At 47.7% G+C, this 15,122-nt stretch overlaps 1 protein-coding gene and 1 long non-coding RNA gene across 13 annotated transcripts in view, besides 2 other annotated features; one reads left to right on the top strand and one right to left on the bottom strand.

Annotated features, from left to right (window-relative positions):
* The window catches only part of DPP6 (dipeptidyl peptidase like 6), a 1,146,153-nt gene that overhangs the window by 29,555 nt on the left and 1,101,476 nt on the right, over nt 1-15,122 (bottom strand). For 11 of the 12 annotated variants that reach the window (NR_157195.2, XM_047419951.1, NM_001364500.2 and 8 more), the window contains one exon: nt 10,904-10,951. Coding sequence is in view for 10 of the 12 variants with exons in the window: in XM_047419951.1 (XP_047275907.1) it covers nt 10,904-10,951 (48 nt within the window). In the remaining 2 variants the exon portion in view is untranslated. Of the gene's footprint in view, nt 1-10,899; nt 10,952-15,122 lie in introns of all 12 variants that reach the window. The other variant, NR_157196.2, reaches the window with a different exon arrangement.
* The window catches only part of LOC105375580 (uncharacterized), a 41,837-nt gene that overhangs the window by 2,853 nt on the left and 23,862 nt on the right, over nt 1-15,122 (top strand). The window lies entirely within an intron of this gene.
* Nucleotides 6,295-6,948: an enhancer, noted in NCBI's record as "NANOG-H3K4me1 hESC enhancer chr7:154649493-154650146 (GRCh37/hg19 assembly coordinates)". NCBI's record gives its function as "activates a minimal SCP1, AML or CMV promoter by ChIP-STARR-seq in naive H9 embryonic stem cells {active_cell/tissue: H9 hESC(naive)}" and the evidence as "EXISTENCE:reporter gene assay evidence [ECO:0000049][PMID:30033119]".
* Nucleotides 6,949-7,603: an enhancer, noted in NCBI's record as "NANOG-H3K4me1 hESC enhancer chr7:154648838-154649492 (GRCh37/hg19 assembly coordinates)". NCBI's record gives its function as "activates a minimal SCP1, AML or CMV promoter by ChIP-STARR-seq in naive H9 embryonic stem cells {active_cell/tissue: H9 hESC(naive)}" and the evidence as "EXISTENCE:reporter gene assay evidence [ECO:0000049][PMID:30033119]".

Below are 15,122 nucleotides of genomic sequence, written 5' to 3'. Positions count from 1 at the left end.
GACTATTAAATTTAGTTAAATATTAGATTTCTCATTTAATGATTGCCCACACAACTGGTTTTATCAGCAGAGAGCTGACTGTCCCACAGGGGACTTGAGTTAAGCCATTTTATTTGTTCCCATAATTGCATTCAAAGAGGGCAGGAGCTCAGCAGAGAAATAAGAAAAGATTGGCATATTCCCTGAAGGACTTTTCTTTTGACTTCAGGGCAGTGGGGACCTCCAGTCTGGAGCACACAAATGGCCACTCTTTAATTAAATGTGAGCCCCCTCTAATATTTGGTGGAATTAGCTATTATCAGATCTGGACACAGTGAGACCGCAGAGACTCAGGCCTGCTCATGAGGCTGCTTCCCTCGCTGCGTCCCATGGGCAGGTCGTGGTGTAGCTGTGCACTGTTGCAAGACATGCTTCCAAGTGGCCCGGCAGGTTCAGGGGATTGATGGAATCACCACTGTGCTAAATTTTGGAAAATTGGTGACCAGATCCAATGAACACCAATAGGCAACGGATCTAAAAGAGGAGAGAGCAGCCGCTTCCCTTTCTCACATTTCTACAAGAAATAAAACTGCAGGATGGTGTGTGCACGCAGAGGCTTAGGCAGAAGTCTCTCCGGCATCTCCCTGTTGCCTTGGCCTGACTTCCCCTGCCTGGGTTTTCTGTGCCTTTCTAGTCCAGGCCTCTCCTGCTGTATTTCTGCTCACTCCTCACGTGCACCTTCCCCTGCGGCCATCAGTAGGACCCCTCTCTGCCCCACCTCGCCCCCTCCCTGTGCTCTTGCAGCTGCCGTCCGCTTACCCCAGGGCTAGGCCATTAGTCATATTCGAAGACCAGATTCAGGCCCAGAGCCCGCATGACTACTGTTTAAACTTACTCACCTTAACTGGAAATCTCTTTTCTCTGAGCTCCATTTTTGTTTTTTGAGACAGGGTCTTGCAGCCAGGTTGGAGTGCAGTGGTGAAATCATAACTCACTGCAGCCTCGAACACCCGGGCTCAAGCAATCCTCCCACCTTAGCCTCCTGAGCAGCTGGGACTACAGGCATACACCACCATGCCCGGCTAAATTTTGTAATTTTTGCAGAGGTAGGGTCTCATTGTGTTTCCCAGGCTAGTCTCAAACTCCTGGACTCAAGAGATCTTCCTTGCTGGGTGCAGTGGCTCACACCTGTAATCCCAACTCCATCTCTACAAAATATAAACATAAAAAAATCCAGGCATGGTGGCACACACCTGTGGTCCCAGTTACTCAGGAGGCTGAGGTGGGAGGACAGCTTGAGCTCTGGAGGTCGAGGCTGCAGTGGGAGGATAGCTTGAGCTGTGATTGCACCACTCCCCTTGAGCCTAGGTGACAGAGCAAGACCCCCATCTCAAAAAAAAAAAAAAATCCTATGAAAGGATTGTAGAATCTTGGGGCCAAGATGCTAAATATTACATTTCTTAAAATCATATTGTCCTTCCCTCCACATATACATGCAGTGATCAACAGAGACATGCTTTATGAACAAAATAGAAAAGACAAAGGAAAGGGTTCGGGTGCGGTGGCTCACGTCTGTAATCCCAATGCTTTGGGAGGCCAAGGGAGGAGGATCACTTGAGTCCAGGAGTCCGAGACCAGCCTGGGCAACATAGGGAGACCTGATCTCTCCAAAGAAAAATGTAAAAATTAGCCAGTCATGGTGATGCATGTCTGTAGTCCCAGCTACTTGTGGGGCTGAGGTGGGAGGATTGCTTGAGCCCAGGAGGTCAAAAAAGAAAAAGAGGTCCTCCCACCTTCGTGGGATTACAGGTGTGAGCCACAGCACCCAGCCTCTTTTCTCTGAACTCCGAATGTTGAGTTGTTAGAGTCAGTCTGACACAGTTTGGGCAACTATTATTCTTTTTGCCATATCTTTTTTCCTCCAGCCAGATTTTAAGCAACTTGAGGGCAGGGTCCCAGTAGGTGGCATTTATTTTTGGTCCTTCTAGCATCATGCTGGGCCCATGGCAGGTGTTTGATGCCAGAGGAGTTGTGCATTGAGGGGACTCATGTGTGTGTCCTCCAGCCCACGGATGAGCGGGTGCAGTGGCTGGCACAGTGCCCAGCCTGCAGGTGCTCCTCGAGGCACCGAGAGCTGCTGGGTGGCAGCGAAGCCCAGCTCTCCTCCCGCATTAGGTAGTAGAGAGGAAGAAGCACCTGCAGACATCCTGCAGGGCGTGCAGCTCCATGCGTGGCTTGCTTTCCACTCTGTGTTAGCCAAATGCCAGCTTGCCCACCCAAATGCTGGACTGAAGTCTAACACGTTCCAACAGCAAATCTGCAGACACTCCACCCACCAGGACAGCTGCTCACGCGTGCAACCCTGTGGGTCCAGAAGATTTCGAGTGCAGACACGTGGGATTCAGGAGACTGGTTCCCAGGCTCTCTGCATCCATAGGAGCCTGCTGGCAAATGTGCTGAGAATGGACATGCCTGATTCGCTCCAAGGAACTGCTCCTTTCCTGTGCCTCTTTCATCATGGCCTGACACAGGCGTCACGAGGGCAAGGAAGGCCTTGGAGCCCCCTCATCTGTCCCTGGGGCATCTTGTACACAGGTGGGCTCCACATGAAGGATGAGGGACCACCAAGGCTGAGTTCAGTAAGAGAACTCCCCCAGTAATGGGTAAGAGCCCCCAGTAACATGGTCGGCTTGTCATCCTTTGATTTTAACAAAATGGAAGGGGAATCTCACTGAGCTAAAAATCAATAGATCATTGAAAATAATCCTTAATGACAGAGAATGGATGGGCCACAATGTTTTGGCATATAGCTCAGGCGTTCAGTGAAAATGGCACTGCTATAACAAGACTCCTCTCTCTCCATTTATTTACATGAACACATTTTCAGACATTCTACAGAAACAAAAAGAAGCGACCACCAAAAGGAGGGAAAAACCAGGAGCGCACACGTTTCTGACAAGGTCTTCTCTGGAAATGAGTCAGGTGTGCTCATGAACTGAGTGAAAAACCACCACACCCAGCTCGCTAAGAGATGCATCTCAGAGCAATCATAACTTTTTATGTCCAACAATTATCAAAGTATGTAATGTATCCTAATTGCTTGATGTGAACAAGTGATAATTATGATAATAATTCCATCCAACAAGTAATGATTATGGCCTTATGGTCACCGGAAGTTAAAAAGAAAAGACCTTTAAAATATTTCCAAGATTAAATGACGTTAGGACAGAATTCTGGGGTGACGGGCGGACAAATGGAATGTAAATATCAGCTCGAGGAGGAAAAGGAAGGATGTAAAGCTAAGAAGAACTTGTTCCAGAAATGTTTAACTGGGCAGTGGTAAGTATCAAATTGCCACAATACTTAGATATCATAGGATTATGTAATACTTTTATTTTAAAATAAATATGCTAAAAACTTATTTTGTACAGCTTTGAATTAATGAGAAAAACTTTAGGTGACAACTTAAAAATGTGTAGGGGAAACATGATTTTTCAAAAATTATCTTAGGGATTCATGAGCAAAAACTACTTGAGGACAGATGGCCCAGTGTCCTCTGTCTTGGCATGACTTGGCAAGGTCCCCTCACATAAAGGCCACTTTATAATGAGACTTTCTCTCTTTGGCCACCAAATTGCTCCTTAAAATATTTGAAAGCTGTGGGTCTTAGGTAGAAACTTGCCTGATGCAGCCATGTTAAGACCTAGGGCTGAAGTTAGGCACCAGGCTGCTTTCGAAATTTTTTTTCTTTTAACATTTACTTTCCTTCATCATCTTTTTACATTTTTAGTCTTTTTGGTTCTGCCCCATATGATCTGCAGGAAAGAGCTGGCTTTTATCTCCAGGTCTGAAATGGGTTTGTGCATTTGCTGGACGGCCCCAACCTTGGTGGTGGCTCCACGGCTGTGATGGGGCAGCTGCCCGCTGTGTCCTGGCCACTGTTTCTGAGAGCCAGGGCTTTGCCCAGTTGGCCTGCAGGGTGAGAGGCATGAGGACCTACTCTCCAGACACCCACCCAGTCGCCTGCTGCTGCACCCAAGGAGGCAGCGGGGCTGTTCCTTCTTTGTTAGGACTGGACAAGACCCAGGTTTTGAGGGCCACAGGCTGTAGGATTCTGTATGATGCTTCGCCACCCCAGCAAGTGCCACACCTCCCTGGACTGGATTGAGATGGCAGCTCTTCGGCCCCTTTCCAGGTGCATCTCTCCCTGCAGGGCCTGCAGAGGCAGCCCCTCATTGGAGGCCCCCCTGCTGGTCCAGACTCTCATCCTTTCCACCATGGCCCCCAGCAGCCCTCCTGTCTGCAACCTGGGGTCCTTCCATCCATTCTCTGCACAGCGACCAGAAGCTTTTCGAGAGGGACGTCTGACAGTGCTCCTCCTGGGTCCTGCAGGATGGCGGGCAAACTCCTTGGCGTGTAGCGTGACAGTGACATGTGGGCCCTCTGGAATGCCATGCTCCTGATGTCTCTCCATGTGTGGGCGCCCTGTGCTTGATGGAAGGGGAGCTGTGGGCACAGCCTTGACAGTCTAGGAGGGGGTGCCTCAGGGAGAAGGTGGGGCAGGGGTGCGCCCAGCAGCACTGGTGCAGGAACAGAGGCTGGAAACCAACTGCATCTGGCGTTGCTTCATGGACCCACCTGGGCACCACTGGTGGTAGGGGCTGTTTTTGCTTTCTTACAAAGACCCAAATGAAGAGAGTAGGAGGTAGAGAAACCTAACTTTTGATGCCATAAAGGAGTGGGAACCAGGCTGCCTAGTGATCCCAAGCTCCCACATGCGCTTGCAGGCCGCTGTGGGGTGCTGTCAGCCAGTGTAGCCAGCTTCAACCCCGCCACACGCACGCTTTCTCTGCATGGCTGTGGGGCTGCATTGCAAGCCACACCGCAATTTCGACTCCCACACGTCGAGTTGGCATCCACGTCTCTAAGTGGGCCTGCCTTTCATATTTACATTAAAGCCCGCAATGTATTCACTATGATTTTGTTGGTTTTTTTATCCCAGTACCTAAGTTGTTTGTTTGAATATCCAGGCACCAAATGAGTATAGGTTGGTCCCAACCATAATTACCTTCTTAAGGAAACAGCTTTTAAATAATTCAGAGTCACATCTGTGAACACCCCGCAGGCTCTGTTTGTAGATAAGATTTTCTAAAGAGGAAAAAAGTCAAATATTCCCAGGGTGGTTTTGGGGTCAGTGGGGGAGAGGAGGGGAAAGGACAAAGAATTCTGAAACAGTAATTTCAAATTTCACAGCAGGGCTGGGAGAGGATAGTATGATAAAGACGGGTCCCAGCCTTCCAGAGCCCCCTTTGCTAGCTGACGCACAGTGCCGAGGCTCTGCCCTGTAACAGAACGTGGGCCACACCTCAGCTGCCAGTCATGGCGTCACACAGCGGCTCAGGAGCCGGCTCCCCGAGGCCTCCTGTCTTGCCCTGCCCAGCTGTAGGCCATGGGCCCCGCTTTCCTGGCTCAGCCCCACAGCGCGGGTTGGAAGCGCTGCTGCTTTGCACACTGTTCAACAGAGGCGTGAGGTGCAAATGCCTGTGCTGGCATGGCCTCACCAGGGCTGATCTAAACCAGGGGTGATTTTTGACCAGCAGCTCAGTGGTCACAGAGGCTGCTGCTGTGAGCACATTTCCCAGATGGCAGCGACGTGAAGGCCAGGAGATCCTGGGTCTTGGGGTCTGGGGCTGCCTTTCCCCCCTTGTCAGACATCTGGTATCAGCCCCCAGCCCACAGTCAAGAGCGCCTGCTTGGTAGTCAGATAAGACAAGAGTCCGGGCCTCGCCCTGAAGTTTGCTGTGGATCTCAGATGAATTGTTGAACCTCATAGGGTTGGTACAAGGAAGGGGCCTGGTGCTGTGTGGAGAGCCCAGAACTGCTGCTACGATTACATTCAAAAGAGAATAATGGATGGCTAGCCAAAGACTGCTGCCTGGGGGCTAAGGGGCTGCCATTAGAGGGTGAAGTTCAAGGGCTGAGCTCTCACAGTGCATGGAGTATGACCCCAGCCTGCACATGGAGGCTGAGCTGCTGCAGGAAGCAGAGCCCTTAATTCGACGGGGCTCCCACAGGTTTAACAGCCACCAGGGCCTGAGGAGCATCTCTTCCCTGTGACGTGGAAGGCTTCTCAGAGCAGGAGAAGGTGCCGTGCCGCACGCTCACCCCAGAGCTGGCTCGGATGGACCCCGGGGGTGGTGTATGGGCGGAGAAGGTGCTGAGAACGAGCTGCAGGTGTGACTGCTTCTGCCTCCCCAGACTCATCTCAATGGGAGTGCAGGCCGGGCATCGCTCTGGATTTGCAGTTGTCCTTCAGACCGCATGAGGGCAGGCGGCTGAGCAGCGCCATGCAATGACCACATGTCTGGAAGAACAGGCTCTGTTGGAGCCGCACTGCTTGCGTCCGAGATGCAACTCCTCTGCTTTTGCTTCCTCGCTGCATGCATGTGGCCCGATCACCTAAGCTGTGGTGCCTCAGCTTCCTTAGCTGACAAGTGGGGATAATAGCAGTTCCTGCCTCACAGGCTGTTGAGAGGATGAAATGAGTTAAAATATGTCAAGTATTTGCCACAGCACCCTGCCCCGGAGCAAGTGCTGATAAATGCTGGTTGGGGCCACTATTGTTACTACCATGGCTCCCTGTGACCTCCAGCCTTTCTCTGGCCCCCTGATCAGAACACGGTTGTCTGAGTTGTTCAGGATGGAGCATCAAATGGAACAAGTACAAGTGGTGTGGGGTTTTGCAGAATCCTGACGATGCAGAACCGCTAGCTGGCTGAGTGTTTGGATGAAACAGGCATCTGCAGGGATGGGTGACTCACTGCCTGCCTTTGTGTTGCTCCTGGAAGTCTTCAGCGGCCTTTTCAATCGTGAAAGAGGACAACTGATCTCAAGCTTACCTGAGGCCCAAAGGCTGATGTGTGAAGTGCTGGCCTGACAATGGCTTTGTCGGCTGCCTGATATGCACATCCCCCCGCAAACCACATGCTGTGGACCCTTCATCCACTGCAGAGGCCACGAGGAGGCTCTGATGTGGTCCAACCACACCACGAACAAGATGCTGCTGGAACTGGGGGCCTGGAAGCACCAGGCACCTGCCTTCTCATCCAAGATGCACCAGTTTGACAGACAAAATGAAAACTCAGTGCATTTTGTTTGGGGAAGACACAGCTGGGTTGGAGATGGGCTGTGAAGTGCTGCAAGAGGACATCAGACATATCAAAAGGTAAACACACTGAAGAAACCCCACACGCCTCCCATGGCAAACACCTGGAGGCTGGAACTCAGGGCTGGGTTTGGCACTTTACCAGGCCCTGCCACACTCACTCTTATTTCCCAGGTGGACTCAAAGCCATTCGTGCAGCTATGATGTGCCAACCCTCAGGGATGGCCGTGCAAGGAAGGGATTTCAGGCACTTTTATCCAGGCATGGGGAAAAAGTGGGTGTTCAGGAACCTGGAACCCCTCAAATCATGAAGTCTGAATGTAACATAGACACTGAGCAAGATGGGACCCCTACTGTCCTCCTGGGGATGGGAACGACAATCAACTCAACCACATTTAATCATTTTTTTTTCCAAGTTAAAATGGCAGCTTAAGTTACCATCCTGAAAGAGCTTGAACTACATTGACAGCCAGAAATGCAGAAACAGGCTAGGGCGGGATGAAATATTCCTAGAGTTTGAATTAGGCTCCAGGAAACCCAGAGTCAAACACTGCTATATAAATAGGCTCGTAAAATAAATGTGACCAAAATAATTCTAAACGCCGTCCAGTTTCCAATTAGTCAGCACTTTGCTGAGATCAAGCGCAATGGTGTCACCTTCAGGTTCACTGTTAAATTTCACACAGAGAAGAAGGGAGTACAGGCATGTAACGCCAGCCCCATCCTGTGTGCACAGTGCTTTTTATTTCTTAAGCCGCTGGGTCCCATCTCTTTGCTTCAGGGAGTCACAGTCACCAAAGTGACAGCTCAACTGCAAACGGCGAAATGCTTCCTAAAAAATTCCCATTTATGCAGCTCCGCAACGGATATGGATGGCAACCTAGGGCCTATGGTCTGTCAATATTGATTGGATTGATTGGTTAATGTAGTAGCCAGTCCTACAGAGGAAAAGAAGTGGTTGTTTTGTTTCCCAGCAGAGTTAACAAAATTTCCTGGATCTTTGAGCATATTAGCATGTTGCACTTGCTGGAAGACATTTGGTCAATTCTTACTGGGACTCTCTTCCGAAGAATTGCACCTCAGCCCACCTATAGATTACCTTATTTTTATAAATGGAATAAATGAAATATTTTCTCAACAGTGTCACACACACCTAAGATACAGGCCGGCTTCATTTTCACTCACACATGAGCCTTGGAAACTGTGTTGACTTGATCCAGCACCGTGGGAGGCTTTAGGAGCCCCAAGGACTGATCACATCCAGGCTGGAAGTGGCTTAGAAGTCAAAATGCATTTCCCAAAAGTAGGGACTATATTAACCTTTGAACTTGAATAGATTAATAATAGCTTCCTCCAAAGAAGTAAAAAGCATTTAAGGGAATGACTTTTGTAAGAAGAGCCATATGCTATATCATATTTTTCAAAGCTGAAAGATACTTTTGTGTTTTTTATTAGACCACAGATTAGAAAAAACTTTTAAATTTGAAATAATTATAGATTCCTAGGAAGTTGCACAAATAGTGCATAGAGTCCTGTGTCTCCACTTCCGGGTCTTCAGTGGTGGCATCTCACAGAACCATCGGGCAACAGCTAACCCGGGAGGCTGCAATGCTGTGAGCTCCATTGGACACCTTATCTAATTTCTACCAGACCATCAATTTTCAAGAAGGGGAAAACCTCACAAATACCAGAAAGGTGTCCATGGACTCTAAATCTTATCAAATACTCAAAATGAAAATATACATTTGCTTAAGGAAAAAAAAGATGTCACAGTTGAGGCTCTATGCAACATCGGCATTTTTTCAGGGAAAATTCCACCTAAAGAGGTCTAGCACAGGTGTTTCAAACATTCACTGTCATGCCGGAGTATGTCTGTCAGACTCCACCGACCCCAGGCCTTGGTGGAAGTTCTAGCTTGGCCTCTGCGGCCTCCTGGAGGGCCCTTCACAGCCTCGTGCCCCTTAGAGTGGGCAGAGGGTGGGTGGATGCAGTGGGGAGGTGAGAGACCCAGGCAATCGCGCCCAACATCCTTCCGGGGATACCGCCCCCATTGCTCAAATGGCCCAGATTCCCAAACCTCGCAGGTGAGGCTGGAAAGCAGCCTGGGAGCAGGTGAACCTTTTTGCTGGGGAAACCAGCCCCTCCTCTGGGGAGGAGCACAGGAAGGCCATCCCGCTTCTTCTCAGCACGGGGTCCCTCCAACGGCCATTCTGAGTGTTTTTGTATATCCATTCTGACATCCACTTTATGGCTTTTTGTGGGGGCTTTAAAATCTATTAATTTATTTCTGGTTTTATGATTACTTATGCTTTGGTTTTGTATTTCTAATAATGATTTGATAGCTTGGCAGACTATCATCATTATTTGGGATTATTGGCTAAGTGCTGTCTCTTTAAACGAATCTATTTTGCCCACTTTGGAACAGTTTGACCACTTCACGGTGTCTAAACACACGTTTGGAGCCTCCTTTCCAACATGCGCCTCACCGCCGCCGCCTCCAGTTCTCCTGGAGCTTGAAGTACCACCACAGAGATAGGAATCAGGGAGCCGCTGATGCTCGATGGTCACTGGAGACACGGAGTCACCTCTGTCCCCAGACCTAGGGGAACTGCGGACCCGGGCCATGAAGTTTGCCCTCCTGCCAGGGAAGGGGTTCCTGAATGTGGAAGGGAGTGGGAAGGATTCGGGGGAAGGAGGACACAGGCTGCTTTGGGTTAGACAGAGGGAGGGCTGGAAAGGGAGGGACCGAGGGCGAGTTCTCTTTGCTTCTCAGCTGTGCTGTGCCTCTGCCTCCCACTGCACACAGCACACATCCCTCGCGTAAACACGGATGTGCCCGTGGCAACCTGTGTGGGGTCCCTCCAAGCAAACACATGCCACCTCTAGTGACCCTGGGAAGTCTTTCAAAGACTCTCCTTGACCAAACTTGAGTGAGGCTCCTCTGAGTCCTCTTCTTGACCAGGCTTCAACCTTGATCCTAACCTGTCTTCGGCCTGCATTGCCCAGCTTTAGCAAGAGGTCTCCACCCCTGATATCTGATCACCCTCCGTAACTGTTCCTCGTCCTCCACCTTTGAGCCTAAGTCCTTGTCCTGCCTTCAGCAAGGATCTTGTGAGGTCAGCTTAGCAAAAATCGCCTCCCACTGATGCCTTCTCTTAGCAGTTTTCCATCCACGGACCCCTTTCTCTGGTCACTGGCTATAAACCCCCACGGGATCTTGCTGTATTCAAAGTTGAGCCTGAATCTCCCTCCCCTTTCACAACAGTCCTGAAAAAGCCTTCCCTACCATTTTACAAATGGCAGAATAAGTTTTTCTCTGATATCCTGTGCAGCATGGATGCAGAGACCCTCCATGCCGTGAAGCTCCCAGACCCACAAAGACAGATGAGCCTCCATGTGCCCCTCAAGTCTTGGTGCCACATGGCAGGTTCTCAGTGGGGACGGACTCATGTGAGGCTACAAAGCCTTTTGAGCTGGCTGTTCAGAGGATGTCAGTCTATGACCTGGGTAGGCCTGGAATGACCCTCCAGGCTCAGCACTTGTGAAGGGGTGTGGGGCCCTCTGGCAGGGGTATGCGGACTTTGACTTTCATCATATTTCGTTGATATTGGTGATCAGCATGGCCTATTCTGAACTGCTAGGACATGACTCATCCCTCTGTCTCTGAGTAGGAGAATGTGGGCCAGCTGATCTCATAGAGTGTTTTGCTTCCTTTCTCCTGAGTCTCAGGAAGATTTAAGGAAAAAAAAGAGCACTTACTTTTCTTATCTGTTGTGTTGTGCACCGTCACCATAGGAACACCAGGACCTGTGTTGGGTAGAGAATAGCCAGGAAGAAAACAAAAACGAAGCCATTAGTTTAGCCGAGAACAAGAAAACAGGCTTTTCTTATGCCACGTAGATAGACGTGCGGAGCCTGGAGAACCCGAATTCATGCAAGAGTAATCAATGATGGGATGGCAGAGGCCAGGCCGGCAGGGGGGCCAAGGCACAGCTCCCTACCTCTGCACCTGTGTTAACTGCAACACACCCAACTCAAAGTCCATATTTTCAGATTATTGTAATGCCATAAAACATCATTCTATGAAGCATTACATTTGGTTTATATCCTCATAACATCATTTTTACCATACAGACACACATTCCAGGATGGCTTTATGGGTTCTTATAAATTACTCAAGCCTCAGTGCTAAGTCTGCTGGCTCCTCCAGGAAGGATGTCACTCCATCCAATGGGTCTCTCATAACACCTTGTAAAAACGTATTCATGTAACAGGAATATTTTGAAAATGTCAAACTATATTTCAGTTTTTCCTTGAATCACTAGCTGGCAGCTTCCCAGCTGCAGGAATGTTGCAGCCCTGAGAAGTGAGAAGGAAGGTCCAACTCAGGACCAGGTGGCCCCTGATCTGTTTTCTCTGCAGGTGACTTCTCGATTCTTCTTAGCAAAAGGAGAGTCCAGAAAGAAAGAAAAAAAGTCTCCCTGAATTATTTTCTATATCTTTTTGAAAACATTAAGAGGCAGGCCTGGTGACTTTTCCAACCTTACTTTAGCCACTGTCCTCTGCACTCACCGGCTCCAGCTAGCTGGCCTTCCTGCAGGGCTGGAGGCATGTCAGGCTTGTTCCCACTGAGCCGCTTGTTCTCACTGCCTGAAATGCTCTGCCCCTAGACACTGCCATGGCCTGTGTTTCCTTCATTTAAATGTCTACTCAAATGCCATCTCCAACTATCCCATCTAAAGGAACTCCCCTCCATGACCATGTGGTCAGCCTCCATTCTCACAGCTTTCCTGATCTTTGTAGAACTCATTACCACACACTACGCTATTGGGACCTTATAATATGTAATGATCAGCATACTTGCTTGCTGTCCTTCTCCTCATCTACTGCACTAGGATGTAAGCTCCGAGACAGTCAAGAATGTGTCAGATTCACTGCTGTTGTTTTCTGCATTGAGAAGGGTGTTTTGAATAGAGTTGTGCTCGATTGGATGTTTGTGGAGTGAATGCTGAATGAGAAAGCACAGAGCATGCAGGAGAGGCAGGAAAGGCAGGAGAGGGAGGAGAGGGAGGAGAGGGAGGAGAGGCAGGAGAGGCAGGAGAGGCAGGAGAGCCAGGAGAGCCTGTCCCTTTGGCTCAGGTGGATTGTGGGAAGATGCAGGGAGAAAGAGGAAGTGGGAAGTGGGTGGTCCCAGGGAGACAGATGCACTGTGGGAACACTGTGGCCAGGGCTGCTGCTTGCGCTCTGCTTCAGGCTATGGACCCAGGATGCCATGGACTCACAAGGGGTGGCCACAGCAAAGCTGAAGCATGCACACTATCTTGGGCAGGGGGATGGGTGGAGTTCAGTATTCCTGCGGTCATCATCAAAACTCCCCACACGCTTCTGAGGGGCCGTCTGACAACTGGTTGAAAGCTAGGGAATCTGCTATGATCCCACCATGCTGAGGGCTTCAGGGCCTCACTGCAGAGGCCCCAGAGTGGACACCCTAGTCCAGGGCCCAAAGAGCATGTGGCAGAAATGCAAGGAGTCCTCTACCCTTGAGAGGTAAGGTGGAAGGTCTGGCCAGTGCCCATCCACAGGTCCAGATGAGCTGAGACACACAGACTGTGGGTCATGCTGGCCTTGGACATCAGAGAAGAGGCCTATCTGTTGCCCAAGGACTGGATCCAGTCTCTACCCCATGCACAAAGTCCAGGAGTCCAGGGCCCTTTTCCCCAACGTGGTGCCCCTCTCTGTTCACCCACAGATGGGGCTGCCAGATGATATGCAGGATGCCTGGTTCTATGTGGTGCTCAGATAAAGAATAAGTATTTTCTTACTGTAAGTGTGTCCCATGCAGTATTTGGGACATACTACAAAAAAATTATCTGTGGTTTACCTAAAATTCAAATGTAACTGAGTATCTTAAATTTTTATTTGCTAAATATGGCACCCCCTACCCAGTGAGGGAACAGCGATCTGAAAGTCCACATATTTATACCCAAAGAGGCAGCACTTACCAAAAGAGATTTAAATGCCAGTTTAAATTATTGAGTCAAACTAAGTTTCTTGGCTCTAAGATTCATTTCCCCCCCATGGGGAGCTCAAGTAGAAGAAAGAATCAGTTATTGAAAAATAAAGAACCTATAAGTATTTTCTCTGCACATTTCAGGGTGAATAAATTTGAAAACAGAATATCTCTTATGTTCTTATTAATAATGTAAACAATTATTATTTATTTAGTGCCTACTAAGTAAAAGGCATGCTGTTAGATATTTTTATGAATAATTTCTAATCAAATCCTCACAGCAGCTCTGCAAAGTAGATATTTCTAACCATATTTTACAGAGGAAAAAAACCACAGGTGTAGATAGTTTTAAGTCTTTTGTCTCATCCATACAATAAAAAAGCTACTGAGCCTGAATTAGTCGCTTTTAATCTTTTAATTCATAAACTTAATATATGTTTCTAAAAGACACTAAAGAAAGGAATAAAGTAACAGTGATCTATTTTATCCCCACTTCCCAGAAGTAACCTAAATGTTGCTAAAATGTTCTTAAATGTTTGTCTGCACATACATGGTCATATTTACACATAAGCACGTATTTTAAACATAGACAAAAATAACATGAAAATGGTTGCATGTATATCTGCAAGCTTTACAAAATCTTAACATTACACACCGTATTGCTCTATTTTAAGTTAGTTTTTCTAAAGTTTGTTTTTTGAAAGGCTAAACAACATTGGCAAAAATTTAGCCAGACTAAGAAAAAAAGAGAGAAGATGCAAATAAAATCAGAAATGAAAGAGATGTTACAGCTGATAACACAGAAGTACAAAGGATCTTAAGCGACTACTATGAACAATTACATGGCAACAAATTGGATAACCAAGAAGAAATGGATAAATTCCTAAAAACATATAATCTACCAAGACCGAATCATGAAGAAATTGAAGAGATCAATAATGAGTAAGAAGATTGAATCAATAATAAAAAGTCTCCTATCAAAGAAAAGCCCAGGACCTGATGGCTTCACTGCTGAATCCTACCAACATTTAGAGAAGAACTAATACCAGTCCTTCTCAAACTCTTCCAAAAAATGGAACGTGAGGGAGTACTTCCAAACTCATTTTATGAGGCCAGCCTTACCCTGATACCAAAGCCAGACAAAGAGACTACCAAACTCCCCCACCCCCGCCAAAAACCCCAACTACAGTCTAATATGCCTGATGAACATAAATGCAAAAATCCTCAACAAAATACTGGCAAATCATATTCAATGGTACATTAAAAGGATCACTAATTGGAAAACCAAACATCGTATGTTCTCACTCATAAGTGGGAGCTAAGTATGAGGATACAAAGGCATGAAAATGATACAATGGACTTTGGGGACTTGGAGGAAAGGGGAGGAGGGGGTGAGGGATAAAAGACTACAAATTGGGTTCAGTGTATACTGCTTGGGTGATGGGTGCACCAAAATCTCACAAATCACCACTAAATAACTTACTCATGTAACCAAATACCACTGATTCCTCCAAAACCTATGGAAATAAACAATTTTTTTAAAAAGGATCATTCATCATAAACAAGTGGGATTCAGCTGTGGGATGCAAGGATGGTTCAATATACACAAATCAGTAAATGTGATTCACCATATTAACAAAATGAAGGCCATGCAATCCTTGCAATAGATGCAGAAAAAGCATTTGACAAATGCTTCAACATCCTTTCATGATAAAAGCTGTCAACAAGTAGGTATAGAAGGAATGTTCCTCAATACAATAAAGGCCATCTATGCCAAACCCATAGCTAACATCAAAATCCATGGTGAAGCTGAAAGCTTTTCCTCTAAGATCAGAGAAAGACAAGGATGCCCACTCTCACCACTTTTATTCAACATAGTCCTGGGAGTCTTAGCAAGAGCAATTAGGCAAGAAAATGAGATAAAAGTCATCCAAATAGTAAAGGAAGAAGTTAATTTTTCTGTTTGCT

Source organism: Homo sapiens, chromosome 7, assembly GCF_000001405.40.
Source record: "Homo sapiens chromosome 7, GRCh38.p14 Primary Assembly".
In the NCBI taxonomy this organism is placed as follows: Eukaryota; Metazoa; Chordata; class Mammalia; order Primates; family Hominidae; genus Homo; species Homo sapiens.
The sequence above is the reverse complement of the archived record's forward strand: the minus strand, read 5'-3'. Positions and strand labels throughout refer to the sequence as shown.